At 43.3% G+C, this 23,041-nt stretch overlaps 1 protein-coding gene and 1 long non-coding RNA gene across 3 annotated transcripts in view, besides 2 other annotated features; one reads left to right on the top strand and one right to left on the bottom strand.

Annotated features, from left to right (window-relative positions):
- Positions 1-23,041, bottom strand: part of RBPJ (recombination signal binding protein for immunoglobulin kappa J region) — a 329,683-nt gene that overhangs the window by 237,087 nt on the left and 69,555 nt on the right. The window lies entirely within an intron of this gene.
- On the top strand, positions 44-19,303 carry LOC105374545 (uncharacterized). Its single transcript, XR_925510.3, has 3 exons — positions 44-380; positions 1,121-1,321; positions 16,750-19,303. It is a non-coding gene; the product is annotated as an uncharacterized LOC105374545 (long non-coding RNA).
- Positions 300-829: an enhancer, noted in NCBI's record as "active region_21390". NCBI's record gives its function as "activates an Ori minimal core promoter by ATAC-STARR-seq in GM12878 lymphoblastoid cells {active_cell/tissue: GM12878}" and the evidence as "EXISTENCE:reporter gene assay evidence [ECO:0000049][PMID:35858748]".
- Positions 22,394-22,573: an enhancer, noted in NCBI's record as "active region_21389". NCBI's record gives its function as "activates an Ori minimal core promoter by ATAC-STARR-seq in GM12878 lymphoblastoid cells {active_cell/tissue: GM12878}" and the evidence as "EXISTENCE:reporter gene assay evidence [ECO:0000049][PMID:35858748]".

Here is a 23,041-nt window from a genome sequence, read left to right as displayed (position 1 = left end):
CTCAGGTGATCCACCCCCCTCGGCCTCCCAAAGTGCTGGGATTACAGGTGTGAAGTGAGCCACTGCGCCCGGCCTGCCTCATAGTATTATAATGAAAATTACACAAAGTAATATATGGAAAGTGGCCGATATAGTCAGAACCTGTCTGAAAATGGGCACTTAATAAATAAATGTTAACTCTCCTTTTCTCTCTGCTCCCCCTTCACTCCCCTCCCTTCCCTTCCCCTCCTCTCCTCTCTCCTCTCCTTTACCTATTCTCTCTTTGGAGAGAAACCAGTCAGAAGACAAGCGGCCAGGGGTGCCCATACACATCAGCAGAGGAGGCTGGAGGAACAGTTCAGGCCAGGGCCTCCAAAAGCTGGCTGCAATTTCTGCGGCAGGTAGTTTCTCTCTTGCCGCTTTAGGGGAAATATGAATCATCCGTTGTTGTTTGGTTTCCATTTCCTGGGAGGCTGCAGGCCCAGGAAATCTGTGGTTTGAGCATCAGTGCCGAGATCAAACGAGATGGCTATTAGCAGCAGAGTGTGTTGCTGGGACCACTGACAAAGTTCTCTTGAGCCAAATGACTCACCTTGAGCTGGCTCCTTGGCCCACTTTCTCCTGATTGCATTCAGCTCAAGAAATGACTTGAATTTCCTGACCCAGTGTGACTCTTCCTTAGCTGTACTGGATGGTAGAGCACATCTGGACCGGGATGGGGCAGAGGTCCAGCCTGTGTTATTATCCCCATTTTACACATGATGGAAAGGTGGTCCTGGGTCCCCAATTCTTCCACTATACAACATGCTGTTTCCCCAAGTGCTGAGTAGATCTTATCATAACCAGTCCTAGGACAACCGAGCACTGGTCACCACAACCTTGCCACTGCTGACCTTGGTTGAAGTCCACTTACTTGATCCAGCTATACTCCATTATAATGAACATTATAATTAAACCTTCAGGACAACCTCTGGAGCTTTTGAAAGGAGAATTAACCAGTTATTACAAAAATAAAAGAGAGAGAGTGAGCGAGAGAAAGATTGATACAGATGGCAGATGATAAGAGAAATACATTCAAGTGTTTCTACATCATTCTTCTTTTGGGTCTCAATTCTCTTTTAAACTATTCCTATGATCCAAGGAAATCCGCTTGAACATTAATTTAAAAGTGAAGGAAGAAGAAGCCTCCATGACAGAGGAGCAATCCAAGCCTCTCCAGCATGGCAGATTTGGCCCAGGATAAAGAAGAATGGTGTCATGATCAGGACACAGTCAGGAAGGGCTGGGGGAGCTCCGGAACAAATGCAGCAAAATGCCGACATCTGTTTTATCTCAACAGTGGGTATGTGGCTGTCTGTTATGTGATTTTGTACTTTTATGTATTTTTGAAATATTTCATACTAAATCAAGAAGTGTGGAATTCGAAGTCAGAAAATCTGAGCTCAAATTTCACCTCCTTGGATAGGCTACTCAGTTTCTGACTGTGCAGATCTATCGAATGTAGATAACAGTAAGCAATTCATAGGTTTGTTATGATTCTCAGGCAAGATAAAACATTTGAAGCATTTTGTAAATTTAGAATCACCCCTAAAAGGAATCCCATACCCACGAGCAGTCACACCTGCTCCTCCTTTCCCCTCAGTCCCAGGCAGCCACTAATATACTTTCTTGTCTCTGCAAATTCACCTCTTCTGGACATTTCATATGAATAGAATCATACGATATCGAGCCTTTGACAACTTGCTTCTTCCATTTAGTATAAGGTTTTTCAAGGTTCATTCATGTTGCAGCAGGTATCAATACTTCATTCCTTTTTCTTACTGAATAATATTCTGCTCTGTGGATACAGAACATTTCATTCATCCATACACCAGCTGATGGACATTTGGGCTCCCTCTACTTTGGGGCTATTATGAATGATGCTGCTATGACCACTCACTTACAAGTTTTGTGTAGATGGATGTTTGCATTTATTTTGGGTATGTACCCAGAGGCTGCTAGATGTTTCAACATTTCAATAGAACCAGAGCTAACAGATTTCTCTCTCTCTCTTTTCTCTCTTCTCTCTCTCTCTGTTTCCTCTTTGTGTGTGTGTATATGTTTGTGTGTGTGCACTCAATTTGAAAATAACGACACTCTAAAAAGTCATGTGGGTCAAAATACAAAACACACGGCCAGGTGCGGTGGCTCACGCCTGTAATCCCAACACCTTGGGAGGCCGAGGCAGGCAGATCACAAGGTCAGGAGTTCAAGACCAGCCTGACCAACATGGTGAAACCTCGTCTCTACTAAAAATATAAAAAATTAGCTGGGTGTAGTGGTGGGCGCCTGTAATCCCAGCTACCCAGGAGGCTAAGGCAGGAGAATCACTTGAACCTGGGAGGCGGAGGTTGCAGTGAGCCAAGATCACACCACTGCACTCCAGCCTGGGCGACCGAGTGAGACTCCGTCTCAAAAAACAAAAACCAAAACAAAAAAAAACATACTCAGAGATCAGTTTTCGAAGTTCGATATAGACCTTAGTTATTTTGTCTGAGAAAGGGGAGAAGTAAAGCAGCTGACCACCATGGATCATTTTAGCTTTAAAACTTATCATTATTATTATTTGAGACAGTATCTTACTCTGTCACCCAGGCTGGAATGCAGTGGTGTGATCATAGCTTTATTCCTTTTTCTTACTGAATAATGTTCTGCTGTACAGAACATTTCATTTATCCATTCACCAGTTGATGGACAACTGGATAGATAAAAGACTGCAGCTTTGAACTTCTGAGCTCAAGTGATCCTCCTGCCTCAGCCTCCCAAGTAGGTAGGACTACAGGCATGCTGCCACCACGCCCAGGTAATTTTTAAACTTTTTGTAAAGACAAGGTCTCGCTATGTTGGCCAGGCTGGTCTTGAACTCTCGGCTTCAAGGGATCCTCCCACCTTGACCTCCCAGTGTTGGGATTACAGACATGAGCCACCATGCCTGGCTCTAGTTTTTATTAATCTCCCAGATAAACACGTATTCATTTATAAATAAACTCACTTTTATTTCCCAAGAGATTTGAGGTGGCTTACAGTATAAACCTGAAAAGACAGCTATGAATCAGTTCAGAAAGAGAGCTCATCACCATACAGGAACCTGGGCAGAGAGGGTTAGTAGGAGTCTCACATTTTATTCTTTGCTCCCTAGCAGGTGCACACATAGATATGGTTAGGAGGGTGTGCAAAACCAGGGCAGCAGAGACTTCAGGACCACTGGTCACAGCCACTCTCTGAGGGAGACATTTTATTTTGCATTTGTATCGTGTGCTCTGAGATGAAAGTTGAGCTTCTTCCTCTGGGAAGCTCATGGTCTAGTGGAGACACACGGGTCCACACAATTAGAACCCAGGGTACAAAATGCAAAGGTAACTGTGCTAGCTCAGAGGAGAGGTGAAGTGTGGTGGTGATAGGTGGGGGCCTACAGGCCCAGAAATCTGTTCTGGGGGGATGGCTGAGCTTTCTGAAGTCATGTGACCTGGTGGTTCCATCACTGATAGGCTGTGTGGCACGGAACAAGTTATTTCATCTTCATGAACCTAGTTTCCTCATCTGACAATGGGCACAAGATTATTAAAGTGCTTAGCACAGTGCCTGGCATGCTGCAAGTGCTCAATAGATATTATCTATGGTTATTATATCAGTGCTCCTTAGTGTTTCTCTTCTGGATTAAATGTGTGTGTGTGCTCATGTGCATGTTTATATCTGGCTGAGACTAGAGCCTTTGGGAGTGTTTCTTACCCGGGGCTCAAATGTACCAGATTCTCAGAGCAAGTTTCATAGTGTCAACTATCCAATGGGAAAGGTCAAGACCCAAGAGCCAGAGAAAGGGGCTGACAGGCCAGTATCCAGCCAAGAAATTAGACATAGATGACATAGGAAACCATGGTTCAGAAGTAAACGGGATGAATGTTCTGGATAAACACCTGTGTGTCTATCAAATGCTATTACCCGTGTCTTTGCAGGTGACACTGGGATAATTGGGTGTAATAATCAGCTAAGGAAGGAATGGATAGAATTAGCCTGAAGGAAGAGAGAGGGAATGTTGCCCTACGTAAAGGAAGCAAGATGTGTGAGGGAGAGAGGCTTGGGAGAACCTGCCATGTTTTGAAGCAATGAGCAGCTTGGTAGGACCAGAGAATGGGAAACTATGCAGGGAGATAGAGGCTGAGAAGGCAATAGGGGCCAGGTATTGCAGGCTCTGGAGGTCAGGCTTAGCAATCTGGTCATCATTCTGAGCATAAGAGGGGGCTATGGAAGGAGCTGGAGAACAGGAAAGGCAGTGTCAGATTTTTGGATTAAAAAGCTCCCTCTGGCTGCCGTGTGAAGCTTGAGCTGTGTGAAGACAATCTGACAGCAGCGATTGCAATTCTGTGGGAGTGGAGAAGGTGCTTATGTTGAGCAAGGGTAATAGTTCCATGATTTATTATACTAGCGATTATGGTGATGCCAGTGTTCTGGAGCAAGTTGAAAGGCAGATTCAGGGCTCAAACCCAGTGGAAAATGTTCAGGAAGGGAAAGTTTTAAAAAGTCTTCAACTAAAAAAAAAATTGACACCGAAACAAAGAAGAAAGGGGAAATTTTCATAAAAAGAACCACCAAAGTCAACTTTGTAAAAGTAAAAATGAGAACGCGTCTCTGTGGATAACCTTTACTTATTCCAAAACTGAGACAAGAGGCACCTTCATTTTCAATATGGAAGCAAGAGCCTCCTTGTTGCTCTGGGCAACCTGTTGCTGTGATCAGCTTGTATGAAACGCTTTGTGAATATTCATCCCTCCACTGATACATGCCTTTTCATTTCCTATTACTACTGTGATAACTTCCCATTAGTTCTGTGGCTTAAAGGAACACAAATTTATTATTTTACAGTTTGGGAGGTCAGAAGGTGACATGGATCTTAATGGAGCTAAAAGTGCCACGTCAGCAGGGCTGCACTTTTTTTTCTGAATGTCCCAGCCTCTAGGGACCTGAATTCCTTGGCTCATGGCTCCTTCTTCCATCTTCAAAGCCAGCAACTGCCTCACTCCAGCCTCTGCTTCTGTCATCATATCCCCTTCTCTGATTCTGGTTCTTCTGTCTCCCTTTTTCACTCATAAGGACCCTTGTAGAATCCAGGATATTCTCCCGATCTCAGGATCTCTAATGTAATCACACCTGCAAAGTCCCTTTGGTGACGTATTTGCAGGTTCTGGTGACTAGGATATGGACATTTTGGAGGGCTGTTATCCTGCCTATTATGGTGATTGTGCTTATTATGGAATGGAAATAATAAGAAATGGGCTTACATGGCAGCGAGGCAATGTGTGGTGATGGTTAAACCTAAACTGGTGGGGCCAGGCTTCCCGGGTTTGCATGCTGTGTCTTCCAACTGCCAGCCCACTGGTCTCTGTTCACTTCCTCATCCAGCAGTGGGATGTTAATCAGACCCACCTCATAGAGTTGAGAACCAATTAAGTGCTAGTATATGTCAATAACTTTGAGTAGTAACTGGCATATAGTAAGTGCTCATTAGATACTGGCCATTTTAATCTAATGAGTGGGTATTGCATAATCCTTTTGTTCTGTGATTGCATTTAATGATTAATAGCAACATCTGTGTTGTGTATATGGGGGAATTTGTGTGTGCAGGACAAATACTTAGATGAGTATCACAATATTATTTTAAGTGAAAAAAGTTAGACACAAAAGAATGTGTGTTATGTCATTCTATTTATAAAGTTAAAGAATGGGGCTGGGCACAGTGGCTCACACCTGTAATCCCAGCACTTTGGGAGGTCGAGGCGGGCAGGTCACTTGGTCAGGAGTTCAAGACCAGCCTGGCCAACATGGTTGAAACCCTGTCTCTACTAAAAACACAAAAAGTAGCCGGGCGTGGTGGCGCAGCCTGTAGTTCCAGCTACTTGGGAGGCTGAGGTAGGAGAATCACTTGAACCTGGGAGGCAGAGGTTGCAGTGAGCTGAGATTGTGCCACAGCACTCCAGCCTGGGCAACAGAGTGAGACTCTGCCTCAAAAAAAAAAAAAAAATTTTAAAGAATGGGACAAACAAATGTATAGTCAGGATAGTGGTTTGTGGAAGAGTTTACATAGCAGGCCTGAGATTGGTATCCCTAGAAAGGCCTGCTTGTAAGGTTGGCCCTTAGCTGGCATCTGGGAACTTGGTTTTCAGAGTATTCTCCATAAATATTTAACTGATAAGCGTGGTTCACTGTGCCTAGGCAGTATGGTTTATACTGAGTATCTGCCTTGAATTTTGCTATGTGGTAGGCAAAGAGTGCCTTTATGACCAGCCAGCCCCCAGTTGAAACCCTGGATACTAAGTCTCTAATGAGCTTCCCTGGTAGACCACATTTTATACATGTAGTCTCCCGTCATTGCTGGGAGAGTTAAGTGGGTCTTGCATGACTCGGCTGGGAGAGGACTCTTGGAGCTGGCTCCTGCTTTCCTCTGGACTTTGCTCCCTGCACTTTTCTCCTTTGCTGATTTTGCTTCTTATCCTTTCACTGTAATAAATTATTGCCATGAGTACAACTATGTTCTGAGTCTCATGAGTCCTCCTGGTGAGTCATTGAACCTGGGGTGGTCTTGGTCACTCCCAATGCAGATGTTACCTGGGATGGGGGTAGATAATAGATTGAAAAAGGACACAAGAAAACCCTCTGTGGAGCTGCAGTTGTTCTCTCTCTTGATTTGGGTAGTAGAGGAGTCTGTATATATATAAAAAAATCAAAAAATCATCCTTGAGTGATACACTTGATACGATCTCTCTCTCCCTCTCTCCCTCTCTCTCTCTCTATCTCTCTCTCTCTCTCTCTCTCTCTCTCTCTATATATATATATATATATATATATATATATTTTTTTTTTTTTTTTTTTTTTTTTTTTTTGAGACAGGGTCTCATTCCGTTGCCCAGGCTGGAATGCAGTGGTGCAGTCATAGCTCACTGCAGCCTTGACCTACTGGGCTCATGTGATCATCCCACCTCAGCCTCCTGAGTCGCTAGAACCACAGGTGTGTGCTGCTATGCCTGGCTATTGTTTTTATGTTGACTTTTAGTAGAGACGAGGTCTCGGTATGTTGCCCAGGCTGGTGCCAAACTCCTGAGCTCAAGTGATCCTCCTGCCTCAGCCTCCCAAAGTGCTGGGATTATAGGCATGAACCACTGTGCCTGGCCACACTATACATTTCAATGTATGTATGTTACTTCTCAAGAAACTGATCTGCAAAACCCCAAACAAAGCTGACATCATTTCTCAGTGCAACAGGCATTGATTGACAGCTTACTCTAGATAAATATTTTTGCTGTTACAGAGAAGGGTCAAACAGCAAAAGAGGGTCCCCTGTATTCAAGGAAATTACACATAGGCTAATGGTCTTCAAACTCGCTGAAGACTGTCCACAAAGTACTTGGGTAAGGATAGTTTTGAGGCCCCTTCTGGAGCCCTCGAAGAGAGGCATGCATGTCCCTGCAGGTTCTCCCTTTCCATAAGTCCTTTTCCTTTCTCTCACTGTATAAAGGGAAGGCAGATGCCCTCACCTATTTCTAATCATATCATGGTACATTACCCATGGTTTGAAAGCCTTCTGGGTACCAAACTCAGGTCAAACTTGAGTTATCATTTTGGGAAACCCTCATGTAATTGTTAATCCAAGTCCCATAAATCTGTCTAGGACCTGCCTTTCCCCCTCTTATGTTTCCCATAGGGACCAGGTTTTGCCTTAGAAGTTGGGTATCTTAGTCCGTGAAGGGATGTTCTCAATCAAGATCAATTGTAGAATGGAAAGGCAGCACCATCTTCTAAACCAGCACTGCTCTCAAAAGATTTGCTGCTCTCAAGGGAGATTTCCATGAGAACAAAGCAAAGCAGGCAGCAAATGCTACAAGTAGCTGATTTCCATATGCTTGAGAGCAAGTGATTCTTTCTAGCTACTGTATTCAGGTATTGGAACAGTGACTGCATGTAGTAAGTGCTCATTAAATATTGACCATTATTATCTGATGCACAGGTATTGTATAATCCATTTGCTCCTGTGTTTGAATTTTATTATGAATGGCAGCATCTGTCAAGTGTGTATCTGTGTGTGTGTGTTGGGTGTGTTGGGGGAACTTGTGTGTTTAAGAAAAGTCTTCTTCCTAGGACTTGTTATTAGTTGTTAAGGAAAGCACCTGACAACAGCTGAGCCCTACAGGCTAATTAATGATGCTGACTCTTCAATGAACATAGCAATGTTTTCTGGAACTATTAAGATTTCCATGATAAAACCTACAGATAGAAATTTTAGGTTATGTCTTCCAGATTTAATGTCTACTATTCCATGAGATTTTATCAAATCTATACTGTTTTTATCAAATCATACATTTTCTTTCTTTCTTTCTTTTTAGGTGGAGTCTTGCTCTGTTTCCCAGGCTGGAGTGCAGTGGTGCAATCTTGGCTCACTGAAACCTCCACCTCCTGGGTTCAAGCGATTCTCCTGCCTCAGCCTCTCAAGTAGCTGGGATTTCAGGTGTGCGCCACCACATCCGGCTAATTTTTGCATTTTTAGTAGAGACAGGGTTTTACCATGTTGGCCAGGCTTGTCTCAAACTCCTGACCCCAAGTGATCTGCCTGTCTCAGACTCACAAAGTGCTGGGATTACAGGTGTGAGCCACTGTGCCCAGTCAAAATCATACATTTTCTACTTCTTATTTGATACATGTGGCAGGTTGGATCAGTTTTTGCAGTATAGAGATGTAGTTTGTTTTCCATTAAATAACTTTATTAAATAGAAAAGTTTGAGCATGAGGGCTAATAAAATTATTTATGATTTGTTTTTAATATAGAGACAGGGTCTTGCCCTGTTGCCCAGGCAGGAGTACAGTAGCATGATCATAGCTCACTGCAGCCTCAAACTCCTGGCCTCATGTGATCCTTCCACCTTGGCCTCCCAAAGCACTGGGATTACAGATGTGAGCCCTTTGCCCAGCTATTTCTTATTTTTAAACATAATTCTCATTTACTCCCAAGGTCACACACACAGCTTAAGGAAAGACTATCTTGCCTTCTATCACATTTCTGGCTTCATAGATAACATAATTTTAATAACATACTGTATCATTTTATTGCAAATCAAGTTATGAGAAACAGCATTCTTACCCTGTTTAATACTTATAAAATTAATTAAATCAGATCTATATCAATGTAAACTTGATTGCTCTTTAGTAATCTATCTTATATGATGCATGCATAATTTATTCCTCAGTGGTTTTTATAATATTCTTCAAAATGAATATTAAGACACTTACTTAAATTGAACAATAAAGTCACACTTTTAATGACAAGGAATATATCTAATTTGGCTGACTGATTTGAAAATTAGGTTATATGATGAAACATTTTTCATCAGTTGAATAAGCCAAATCAGCAGCTCCAAGATTTTGACAAAATTTTATTTAAGGTCCACAAGGTAAAAGCATTAATGTAGTTCTACTACAAAAGATGTATGGAAATAAAAATTTTTGTTTTCTCAACTTGTTCTGTGACAGATTTAATAATATGCCTCTAAGTGTAAGGATAACTGGTAAAATAATACTTATTTAAAAGTCTTGACCTTTTTAGTATACTTCAGAGAATGAGACATTAAACAACAAATCTGTTCTCAAGTTGAATGATTTCTAATTATTTGCTTTTGACAAAATTGTAGGGAGACCTAACCAAAGCGATAGATCCTTAAGATTTATTAAGATCCTTTTATTAAAAAGAGTTCAAAGAATTGTTTGTCAGTGCTTTAAGAAAATTCTTTCTCTTCTCATCTACTTTTTTACGTGTGTGTGTGTGTATGTGTGTGTGTGTGACAGAGTCTTGCTCTGTCGTCCAGGCTGGAGTGCAGTGGTGCCATCTCAGCTCACTGCAACCTTCACCTCCTGGGTTCAAGGGATTTTCGTGCCTTGGCCTCCCAAGTAGCTGGGATTACAGGCACACACCCTCCTGCCCAGCTAATTTTTTTGTATTTTTATTTTTATTTTATTTTTTGAGACAGAGTCTCGCTCTGTTGCCCAGGCTGGAGTGCAGTGGCATGATCTTGGCTCACTGCAGCCTCCACCTTCTGGGTTCAAGTGATTCTCCTGCCTCAGCCTCCTGAGTAGCTGGGATTACAGGAGTGTGCTACAACACCTGGCTAATTTTTTTTTTGTATTTTTAGTAGAGACAGGGTTTCCCCATGTTGGCCAGGCTGGTCTTGAACTCCTGTCCTCAGGTGATCCACCCACCTCGGCCTCCCAAATTGCTGGGATTATAGGTGTGAGCCACAGTGCCCAGCCCCCATCTACTAATTTATAGGAAGGAAAATTCTCAGTGTTCACATCTATGAAAAAGAAAAACAGGATAGAAATTGTTCTAAACCTCCTCTCTTTCCAGTAGTGTGTAACAGTTATTCATGAATATATGAACTTGTTGGCAGTAAATATCTACATCCATGTAATTGAGATGTATTAAAATTACTTTAAATATTATAATTATATCTCAGAGTTAAAATATATTTATGTTGTTCTGTTCAATTGTGTACTACCAATAACTTGTGATACTTACTTCGAGAAGATGTTTTTCTTTTACATTTAGAGCCTAGTAGTCAGAGGAAAAAAGTTTCACTCACATATATGTTACAGAGTACAATAAGATGGTCAACAAAAGACTTTAACACATAAAAAAAATTAGAATAAAATCCTGAGGGGGAAGAAAAACAGAAATAACAGTTCAAAGAGATACAAGAATAATGTAAGATTTCTGACCGTAAAAGAAAAAGCTTGTTTGTGTTTTTTGTTTTCGTTTTTGTTTTTTCGAGACAGGGTCTCACTCTGTTGCTCAGCCTGGAATGCAGTAGCGCAGTCATGGCTCACCGCAGCCTCCACTTCCCGGGCTCAAGCAATCCTCTCACCTCAGCCTCCTAAGTAGCTGGGACTACAGGTATGCAACACCACACCCAGCTAATTTTTTGTGTGTTTTGTAGAGGTGGGGTTTTGGCATGTTGTCCAGGCTGGTTTTGAACTCCTGGGCTCAAGCAATCTGCCCACCTCAGCCTCCCCAAATGCTGAAATTACAGGCGTGGTCCACTGCGCCAGGCCTTGTTTGTGTATTTTTTAAAATGGGTGATAGTGAGGGGCAAATTGCTGGGGTATTCCGTGGATAATAAAGTCACTTAAAACAGTGATGCAGCTGTTTTATTTTCAAGTATAAGTTGGTATAACACATTGAGAATCTTTTGTAATCATTTAATCTTAAATAGAAATGGTAAATTAAAGTTTAGGTAAATTAGAAATGTATAAAGAAGTATAGTTTTCAGACTTGTTTTTTAGCGAATACTAGAGTGAACATTTTTGAATCCCACTTAGTTTCTGAGAGTGGACCTCAGCAGGTCTGTGAAAGCAAATGGCCAAGCCTTGGCCTGTACATCTCAGCACCTCACTGCTTGGTTTGTCTTAGAGAGGCTGCCCAACCCTGACCTCAGAGGGTCTCGCTCAGGCACTGCAAGAAAGAGAGTGGTTGGGTCCACAGGGCACAGGCAGGCAACATTGCCCTTCAGACTAGTTTGCTCAATTCTATTAAACATGACTCTTTTCTCAAAGTGTATCTACCAAATACCCATGTAGTATTCACTGTGTACCTGGCACTGTTCCAATTGCCTTACAAATATTAACTGACTTAAGCATCATAAAAACCCTATGAGTTAAGTAACAATGTTATCCCAATTTAACAGATGAGGAAACTGAGGCATAGAGAGATTAAGTAACATGCTAAAGGTCACACAGCTAATAAATGGTAGAACCAGGACTTCTTATACATTGGTCTTTTTTTTTTTTTTTTTTTTTTTAAAAAAAAGGGGGGAGCAGAAAGAAGTTACGGTATTCTCTATACTTAAGTGGATGTCTATCAGGCCTATCAGAATTCTTTGTCTTCAACATGCAGTAGTAGTTCCATTCCTGTTTCTTTCTTTCTTTTTCTTTTTGTTTTTTTCTTGAGACAGAATTTCACTCTTGTCGCCTACGCTGGAGTGCAATGGCGCCATCTCAGCTCACTGCAACCTCTGCTTCCTGGGTTCAAGTGATTCTCCTACCTCAGCCTCCTAAGTAGCTGGGATTACAGGCACGTGCCACCACACCCAGCTAATTTTTGTATTTTCAGTAGAGACAGGATTTCACCATGTTGGCCAGGCTGGCCTCAGGTGATCCACCGGCCTCGGCCTTCCAAAGTGCTGGGATTATAGATGTGAGCCACCGTGCCCGGCCCCAGTCCTGTTTCTATATCCAACCTTTGCCTGGCTTACAAATAGACTAGATTTACCTGTGGGGATCCTAGGAATCTAGTACAGAATTGAGATGCACTGGGATTGAATTTCAGTGGCCTGGTTAATGACACTGGCTTTCACAGCCTATGAATCACCATACAAATGCCTTATTCAGAAGCTGAGGTGGAGACCGAGGGACTCTGGATAATTAATATTGCAGGTCACTAGTAAAAGGCCTCAGAAAGCATCAAACCATCCCCAAAATTATTTTTCCTGGCCTTCTCCATACAACCTCGTAATTCCAGTTTCAGATGTTTGGAGTGGGCAAAATGCTCTTACGATTTCCTTTGCAGCAGTGAGGAAAACGCATTACCCTGACCGTGGTGTTGAGGAGAGAAACCATTTTTCTTCCATCTCTTGCCACTGTCTTCCAAATAACTTCCATTAAATTTGCCATTTGACACAGGCAGAGGGTGGCAAAAGAGATAGCAAGAACTTAGAGGGTGAGAAATACCGTAAGAAGTTTGCCACTTTGCAAAAGAAAAACCACTTTAAAAAATACAAGCCCTTCTTGGAAAAAAAAAAAATCCCTCCTTGATGCAAAACAACATAACTATCTTTTCTTTTTTTTTTTTTTTAGACAGAGTCTCACTCTATCCCCTAGGCTGGAGTGCAGTGGCGCAATGTCGGCTCACTCTAACCTCTGCCTTCCAGGGTCAAGTGATTCTCCTGCCTCAGCCTCCCGAGTAGCTAGGATTACAGGTGCCTGATGCCACACCCAGCTAATTTTTGTATTTTTAGTAGAGACGGGGCTTTGCCATGTTGGCCAGGCTGGTCTCGAACTCCTGACCTCAGGTGATCTGCCCATCTTGGCCTCCCAAAGTGCTGGGATTACAGGCATGAGCCACCGCACCCGGCCCAACATAACTATCTTCAAAAAAAGTTCTTCATTTATAGACAGATTGGTATCTATTACTGTGCCTTCCGACAAACTATACTTCTGGGCAACTATGGGACTTTTCCATGCCCTTAATATTACGTAGGATACTTTGGAGCTCTGAGCCAGTCCCCACATCCCGGACTTGGCCTCCCACTCCAATCTGTTATGAGGATTGACAAAGATCATGTCCTTTGACCAAAACTTGACTCAGCCTCCCCTGAGTCCTCTGCTTGACTGGTCCTGAGGTCTTGACCTTGGGCCTTTCTTTCTGTCCTTGTAGAATCCAGTTTGAGCAAGAATCCTACTAAGTCAGTTTAGGAAAGTCCCCCACCCTTGGTATCTGACCACCCTCCGTGATAGCTTATCACCTTGGCCTGCCTTCAGCAAAAATCCTATCAAGACAGGAACTCTCCATCCTTGATGTTTCGTTTTAGTAATTTTTCATCCACTGCCCCCACCCTGCTCCCTGGCTGTCAATCCCTGCTTGCTGTTACAGTCGGAGCTGAGTCCAGTCTCTCTCCCCAGTAGCAAGAACCCATTGCAGTGATCCCTGTACCTATGGCCACGGGCCCCTTGAATAGTCCACCTTGAATAGTCCACCACTTGTCTTTAACAAGTGTTTGGATACATTTTTTTTCTTTCTTTTTTTTTTTTTTTGAGATGAAGTCTCACTTTGTCACCCAGGCTGGAGTGCTGTGGTGCCATCTCAGCTCACTGGAACCTCGGCCTCCCAGGTTCAAGCGATTCTCCTGCCTCAGCCTCAAGAGTAGTTGGGACTGCAGGCACCCACCACCATGCCTGGCTAATTTTTTTTATTTTGTTTTTTTGAGACAGAGTCTTGTTCTGTCGCCCAGGCTGGAGTGCAGTGATGCGATCTCAGCTTACTGCTACCTCCGCCTCCTGGGTTCAAGCGATTCTCCTGCCTCAGCCTCCCAAGTAGCTGAGACTACAGGTGCGTGCCTCCGTGCTTGGCTAATTTTTTGTATTTTTAGTAGAAAAGGGATTTCACCATGTTGGCCAGGCTGGTCTCAAACTCCTGACCTTCAAGTGATCTGCTCGCCTCAGCCTCCCAAAGTGCTGGGATTACAGGCGTGAGCGACCACGCCCGGCTACATTTTTTCTTTAACAGGACAGACCATCTGGGCTATTATCAGTCCTGGTAAGAAGGCTGCTGGGATCAGCCAGGTCCTAGCCCACCACTAACCAGACTTAAATCTGTTAGAAAAATTTCCCAACACCTCCATTTTACTGCGCAAGATTAAATTGTCTTCTAGTTGTCTGAGTTGGGAGCATCAAAAGAACTGAAGTGAAAAACAAACTGGCTTTAGGGGAGCTGCACCAGTGTCAGGCCCTACGAATGGCATGGGAGAGCCCTGTCTGCGAGTAATGGGGCAGGTGGTTATTAACAAGAATGGACGGTTACTAACAAGAACGTGTGCTCTGACTCTTCCCTGTTATCTGCCTTGTAAAAAGGAATTGAGTACGGTCATGTGCCGCATCACAGTTTCTGTGGATGATGGGCCACATATATGAGGGTGGTCCCATCAAATTATAATGGAGCTGAAAACTTCCTATCGCCTAGTGACAATGCAGCCCAGTGTGTTACTCACATGTTTATGAGTAATGCATTGATGAATGGTGATGCTGGTGTACACACACTTTCTGCTCTGCCAGTCCTATAAAAATCTACAGATAAAACATAAACTATGTACAGTATGTAATGCTTGATAATAATAAATTGACTGTGTTACTGGTTTCTGTATTTACTATACTATACTTTTTATTGTTAGGTTAGAGTGTATTCCTTCTACTTACGTGAAAAGTTAACTGTAAAGCAGCCTCAGGCAGGTCCTTCAGGAGGTACCTAGGAGAAGGTATTGTTATCATAGGAGATGACAGTTCTATGCATGTTATTGCCCCAAAGACCTTCCAGTAGGAAGAGATGTGGAGGGAGAAGACAGTGATACTGATGATCCTGGCCCTGTGGAGGCCTATGCTAATGTGTGTGTGTCTTAGCTTTTAACAAAGAAGTTTAAAAAGTAAGCCGGGTGGTGGCTCACACCGGTAATCGCAGTACTTTGGGAGGCTGAGGTGGGAGGATCGTTTGAGCTGAGGAGTTCAAGACCAGTCTGGGTAACATAATGAGACCCCCATCTCTACAAAAAAAAAATTAAAAAATTAGCCAGATGTGGTGGGGCATGCCTGTAGTCCCAGCTACTCAGGAGGCTGGGACAGGAGGGTGGCTTGAACCCAGGAGGTTGAGGCAGCAGTGAGCCGTGATCAGGCCACTGCCCTCCAGCCTGGGTGACAGAGCAAGACTCTGTCTCAGGCAAAAAAAAAAAAAAGTTTAAAAAGTAAAAATAAATGAAAAAGTTTTAAAAAGCTTTTAGAATAAGGATATAAGGAAAATATTTTTGTACAGCTATACAATCTGTTTTAAGCTAAATGTTATTACGAAAGAGTCAAAAATTTTGTTTGTTTGTTTGTTTGTTTTTTTGAGACGGAGTCTTGCTCTTTTGCCCAGGCTGGAGTGCAGTGGCGCGATCTCGGCTCACTGCAAGCTCCGCCTCCCGGGTTCACGCCATTCTCCTGTCTCAGCCTCCCGAGTAACTGGGACTACAGGCGCCCGCCACGGCGCCCGGCTAATTTTTTGTACTTTTAGTAGAGACGGGGTTTCACCGTGTTAACCAGGATGGTCTTGATCTTCTGACCTCATGATCCGGCTGCCTCGGCCTCCCAAAGTGCTGGGATTACAGGCGTGAGCCACCGCACCCAGCCAAGAGTCAAAAAGTTTTAAAAGATCAAAAAGTTTAACATGTAAAAAGTTGCAGTAAGCTAAAGTTAATTGATTATTGAAGAAAACAATTTTAAATAAATGTAGTGTAGCCTAAGTTAGAGTGTTTACAAAGTCTGCAGTAGTGTACAGTAATGTCCTAGGCCTTCACATTCACTCACCACTCACTCACTCACTGACTCACCCAGAGCAACTTCCAGTCCTGTGAGCTCCATTCCCGGTAAGTGCCCTATGCAAGTATACCATTTTTTATCTTTTAGGCCATATTTTTAATGTACTTTTTCTATGTTTAGATACACAAATGCTTCCCATTGTGTTCCAATTACCTACAGTATCCAGTAGAGTCACATGCTATACTGGTTTGTTGCCTAGGAACTGGTTTGTAGCCTATGACTGAGCCATATAGCCTAGGTGGGTGGTAGGTTGTACCATCTAGGTTTGTGTAAGTACACTCTGCGATGTTCACACAAGAATGAAATTGCCTAGTGATGCATTTCTTAGAACATATCCCCATCATTAAGGGACACATGACTATAATAAAAGTTGAGAGACTGAAGGGAAGGGAAAGGGGAGAGGATATTCTTTGTGGCCCAAGGAGGTATGGAGAGGGAGGAAGGCTATCGCATTAGATAGGGCAGAATTTAGGAGTTATGTGTTGCTGGAGTGTTCTGAATGCGGTCTTCTTTAATTTTGTTTTGGAAGATGTAAATCAGAGATTAAAATTTTGTTTTTAAATTTCCTTTGTTTAGACTGTGCTTCTTTGGAGGTGAACTTGTGCTGATACTTGATGGGTCACGCAGACTTACAGTGAGAAACAGCTTCAGGAAAGTCAGAAGAGAAATCCGAGCAATAATTAAAAACACACGGTATTAGTCTGTTCCCAACGCTGCTAATAAAGACATACCTGAGACTGGGTAATTTATAAAGAAAAGAGGTTTAACGGACTCACAGTTCCACGTGGCTGGGGAGGCCTCACAGTCATGGCAGAAGACCAAGGAAGAGCAAAGGGATGTCTTACATGGTGGCAGGCAAAAGAACATGTGCAGAGGAACTGCCCTTTATAGAACTATCAGATCTCGTAGGACTTATTCACTATCTTGAGAACAGCATGGGAAATACTCGCCTCTATGATTCAATTACCTTGCATTCCTGACCCATGTAAATCCCTAGTCTACATTGCCCTGCATAATGGTCTTGTAGCATTTTCTAGTTATTACTGCTATTTGTGAACACATCTATTCTCCTTAACTATTAATAGTATAAACAATTTGAGGGTAGGGCATACTATATTTTATTTTTTAACCCTTAGGACCACAATGCTATAGTTTGAATGTTTGTGTCCCCCCCAGATTCATGCATTGAAATGCTAATCTCCAAGGTATTGGGAGATGAGGCCTTTGGGAGGTGATTAGGTCACAAGGGTGAAACCCTCGTGAATGGTATTAGTGCCCTTATAAAAGAGGCCCCAGGGAGATACCTCACCCCTTTCACCTTGTGAGGACACAGATAGAAGACCCCATCTATGAAGCAGGAAGTGGGCCCTCATCAGACACTGAATCTGCCGACATCTTGATCTTAGACTTTCTGGCCTCTAGAATTATAAGAAATAGATTCTGATGTTTACAAACACTCAGTTTATGGTATTTTGTTATAACAGCCCCAACAAAGAGAAGCCCTCAGGGTCTCCTACTTTCTTTCTTTTTTTTTTTTTTAACCTTTATTTTAGGTTCAAGGGTACATGTGTCGGTTTGTTTTATAGGTAAACTCATGTCACAGGGGTTTGTTATATCAATTATTTCGTCACCCAGGTACTAAGCCTAGTACCCAATAGTTACTTTCCCTGATCCTCCCCCTTCTCCCGCCCTCCACCCTCAAAAAGATCCCAGTGTCTGTTGTCCCCTTCCTTGTGTCCATGTGTTCTCATCATTTAGCTCCCACTTATAAGTCAGAACACGCAGTATTTGGTTTTTTGTTCCTGTGCTAGTTTGCTAAGAAAAATTGACTCCAATTCCATCCACATTCCCACAAAAGATAGGATCTCATTCTTTTTATGGCTGCATCGTATTTCCTGGTGTATATGTACCACATTTGCTTTAACCAGTCTGTAGTTGATGGACATTTAGGTTGATGCCATGTCTTTTCTATTGTGAATAGTGCTGCAATAAACATTTGCATGCATGTGTGTTTATGATATAATGATTTATTAATATAGTCCTTTGGGTATATACCCAGCAATGGTATTGCTGGGTTGAATGCTAGTTCTTGTCTTTAGCCCTTTGAGAAATCACCAAACTGCTTTCCAAAGTGGTTGAACTAATTTACACTCCCACTGACAGTGTGTAACTGTTCCCTTTCCTCCACAACGTTGCCAGCATCTGTTATTTTTTGACTTTTTAGTAATAGCCATTCTGACTGGTATGAGACGGTAACTCATTGTGGTTTTGATTTGCATTTCTCTAATGATCAGTAATACTGAGCATTTTTTCATATGTTTGTTGTCCTACTTTCTAAGATCACACTCATTACATTACATAAGTACTTGCGTGAATGGACTCATTTGCGACAGTTCACTTATTCATATTACTCTAGGAATGCATGGGGGATTCTGGGGCCCACCAGAGCCCCGGACCTCTTCTGTTCCTTGCAGTGGCTATGACAGCTGGGACCACAGTGGGGCTCCATCCGCATTAGTAACTCTTTGGGGAATCTGACATGGTTCTTTCTGGGGGAGCTTTCAAAAAAAAAAAAAACACAGTAATCACCTCACTTCCCACCAAAATGCAGCCAGATCTCAAGCAGAAGATGACAGCTCTCAGATAACACCATGAAACCTTTCAAAACATCTAACACTGGAGGAGAGAGTAAAGGAAAAAGGAGTCTGTCATCAGCTACCAGTGGTTGTGCTTGCTTTTTTGTTACTCTTCACTATCTTCCAACCACTGGGACTGTCTTCTAGGCACCACAGGGTGCACGCTGCATGGGTCCCTGGTGAGTGTTGTGACGTCAATTAGCAGCTGGGTTTCAGGGATGGCTGGAAAGCTCCCCTGCTTCTCCACCCTGCAGGCCGCACGTGAGGCCCAACCACAAGACAGGAACCTTGGCTTCCAAACCCGATCCTCCAAAACGTGGGCTTATATAACTTATTTGTTTATTTTTAAGCCAGCCCTGTCCAAGTGGAGAACATTTAAGATTCCCTTTTAGAAAAAATTTGGAAACCAACATTATTATTAACTAAATCAGCAAGCAACGGTTTTGTAAAAATTCCAAACGGCACAGTTCTGTGGACTTTGAGCATCCCGTTCTCGGTGGAATTACATCGCATGGTGGGTTCTCAAAATTGTTCCCGGGATTTCACTCTCACTCCCCTCCTCTGCCCCATGCAGTCTGGCCTGAGGCTAAGGGGGTCTGGGACTTCTTTTTTTTTTTTTTTTTTTTTTGATACGGGGTCTTGCTCTGTCACCCAGGCTGAAGTGCATTGGTGTGATCTCAGCCCACTGCAATCTCTGCCTACCAGGCTCAAGCAGTCCTCCCACCTCAGCCTCCCAAGAAGCTGGGACCACAGGCGTGCACCATCACACCTGGCTAATTAAAAAAAATTTTTGTACAGACAGGGACTTGCTACTGGCTTCAAGCAATTCACCTTGGCCTCCCAAAGTGCTGGGATTACAGGTGTGAGCCACTATGCCCGGCCTGGGCCTGGGACTTCTGCAGCACTGGAGCCCCCTCCATTTGATAAGGGGCCATGGAGTCCCTGTTCTATAACTGAGTCCAGTGGTTCTCCAGCTAGTTCGGTTGCTGGGGCCTCTGGAAGACACCTGCTCTTCAGAGCATGGTAAAACAGAAAACCTAAGATATATCTTTGGGTCAGATCAGATGCCACTTTATATTAGTTTCTAGACATGGGGAGACCATGTGCCAATGGTCTGATAAAAATGTCTTCAGAGATGTTCATTGCTATATTATTTCTACCTGGAAAAACACTGAAAACAATCTAAATGTTCAGCAAGAGTAGCTAATAAATTGTGGCCATTTTCAATCTATCCATCCAAGTCATAAAGATTCTTTGCAGAGTCTTTAATGATGTGAGGGAAGTGTTTATGATTTGTTAGGTTAAAACAAAAAGTGGAACACAAAGTCACATATGACGTACGAGGCCAATGGTGTTTATTACATGTGCAGAGACTTAGAAAATATACTACAATTTTAGGAGAGGTTATATCCCTGCATGATGGCATTATGGGTTGTTTTTATTGCTTTCTTTTTACTTTTCAGCATTTTCAACTTTTCTAAGATAAGTATATATTACTCTGATCATCAGAAAATAAAATGATTACAAGGTAGCTGACTTTCTTAGTGGTGATGGATTGGGGTTCACATTTTTTCTCTTTCTTTCTTTCTTCCTTCCTTTCTTTCTCCTTTTCTTTTTTTCTTTCCTTCTCTTTCTCTTTCTCTCTTTCTTCTTTTATTGAGACAGGGTCTCCCCTTTGTTGCACAGGCTGGAGTGCAGTGGTGCAATCTTGGCTCACTGCAACCTCCACCTCTCGGGTTCAAGCGATCCTCCCACCTCAGCCTCCCAAATAGCTGGGACTACAGGTGCACAACACTAGGCCCAGCTAATTTTTTGTATTTTTAGTAGAGATGGGGTTTCACCATGTTGCCCAGGCTTGTCTTGAACTCCTGACCTCAAGTGATCTGCCCTCCTTGGCCTCCCAAAGTATTGGGATTACAGGCATGAGCCACTGCGCCCAGCCCACATTTTCTTTAGATACCATTTTCCTTGGTCCTCACTGCTCTTCACCCTCTCATGTCTCCTCCAGTGACGAGCTAGAGCGAAAGGCTTGAATTTAAGATGAGGAGGATGAGATGCTCTCCTATGCACAAAGTCACAGTAATTCTCCCCGGGAGGCTTATGAATATCTAGGAGCTTATGAAGGCTTATGAATATCTAGGAGCGGCACACACCCAGTCCAGATTCCTGTGTGTAAACTCACAGTGTCACAAGTCTAAGAAGGAAAGAAACCAGACTCATGGCAACTTTACATTTACTGAATCATCTCATCTTCAGACAAGAAAAGGTTCTAGCAGGACACTCCTTCCCTCACCCTATGACTGCAGCTTCTGCACCCCTAAAAGAATGTTGACTGAAGTGCAGATAGACATCTTCAAGGTCTGGCAAGGCAGCCTGGTTCAAGCAAGGCAACTGGGCTGCACACGCTGAGCTCTGAAGGTGGTCCAGCCAAGACAGGCCTGGCTTAGGCCTTGGGCCAGCCCATTCCTTCAGTCCTTGTGGGTTTCCTCCTTGTGTTAAACGAATGTAATGTGACTCGAAGCTTCTCTTGGAGCTATGTCCCATGATCTCATCTACCACTGCCTATATACGTGGGGAAGTGCCTGCCTCCAAGCGCTGAAGCATAGTGTTGAAGGGGGACGTCAGCTGGGCTTGAGAAACAAGGCTTTTCTTGAGTGTTTACAGGAGGGGAGCAGTCTTAGTTAGCAAGCACGGTGATAATTAAATTCAATTACATCCAGCAGCTGTTTACTGAGTGATTAGCTACATTCTGAACAAGGCATTCAGGAATCCCCCCAAATTCCTTAGAGCATGCCTCAGTTTCCCCCATTAGCATCCCATCAACCTCCTTACTTTAAGACTTGGATTCTTGTGTGGTGTTGTGAAACCAGCACTGGTTTTAAACTCAGTGAGTCTGGTTGAAAATCCCGTCTCCGCTCTATCACTCACAAGCAAGTTGCTTTGTCTCCATAAGACCCATCTTCCCTGCCTTTGAAATAGGAATAATAGAGCCAGCTTCAGTGGGGTGTTTCTGAGTATAGTTGCTGGATTGAGCAAAGAAAAGTACAGACACCCAGTTAAACTGAAATGTTAGATAAACAAACTTTTTATTTGTTTGTTTAAGTATGTCCCATGTAGTGTTAAGGACATTCTTACACTAAAAAATTATTTGTTGTTTATCTAACATTCCAGTTTAACTGGGTGTCCTGCATTTTATCTGACAACCCTATTTTTGAGGCTAAAATGAAGAGATTTACCCGAAAGCCCTGCCCAGGGGCTCAGTGATTTCACTTTTCTCCACACCTTTCCCTCTTAGGGTGGATCCCAGAAGGTGCGTAACACCTTGCCCCTTGCATATCAGAGGGAATGAAGACTGTGAGCAGGTGGGTGGAGGGAAGGTCAGGATGCTCAGATAGGGAGAGCATTTACCCAATAACAGTAAGAGAGTACAAAACACAGCGCTGGCACACTGCTAAACCTCTGCCTCACGGACACCTTCAAAGACCATGGAGAATAGTGTCCTTTGGTGTGTGTGCTTGAATACGCTGTGTTTGCTGCATGTAGGTCTGTCAGTGGGAGTGACACCACAGGGCCAGAAGGAGCCCTAATGGGGACACCAACCCCAGGGAAACCCCATCTAGGCACGATCATTCCATTGACTTCAGAGGCCACTGTGGTGCACATTTGAAACAGGGACTTTCCTGGAGGTGATTTTTACACAAAAGGGGTAAACGTAACTGGGTGCCCCAGAAACCTCCCTGCAACTTGCGGGAAACCTGCGATGTGATGCGGGTCTGTACTCCTGCTCCTTTCTTTGTTTCTCTGCTCCCTCTTTGTGGCTTCTCCCTGCTGCCTCCCCCAGACTCAAATCCCCCCCCCAGCTCAAGCTCCCCCAGCTTGTAGGGTGGAGGTGGGCAGGTGGCAGGTCTGCTCTCCCGAGTCATGCACATCACAAGCTGCCCAGGAGCCCTCAGAACCTCAGGGTATAATTTCCCTCCTCTGAGCATCCGAATTCCAGGCGGGGAGCTCAGCTGTCGTCGGCTTCAGGAAATTTTTCCACCAGGATTGAAACTGGGGCCAAGAAAGCGTGGCTCTGTAGAAGACATTCTCTTCTGCTATTCAGATGCACTTTCCCTTTAGTTCAGGCATTAGAAAATGGTGCCTTTACTCAGAGTCATAGAGGAAAGTTTTGGATTTCATTACAATGAGAAAACACATGAAGAGGGGCCATCATAGGCTGCATTTCCAAATCT

The sequence above is a fragment of the Homo sapiens genome, chromosome 4 (assembly GCF_000001405.40).
Source record: "Homo sapiens chromosome 4, GRCh38.p14 Primary Assembly".
Lineage (NCBI taxonomy): Eukaryota > Metazoa > Chordata > Mammalia > Primates > Hominidae > Homo > Homo sapiens.
The sequence above is the reverse complement of the archived record's forward strand: the minus strand, read 5'-3'. Positions and strand labels throughout refer to the sequence as shown.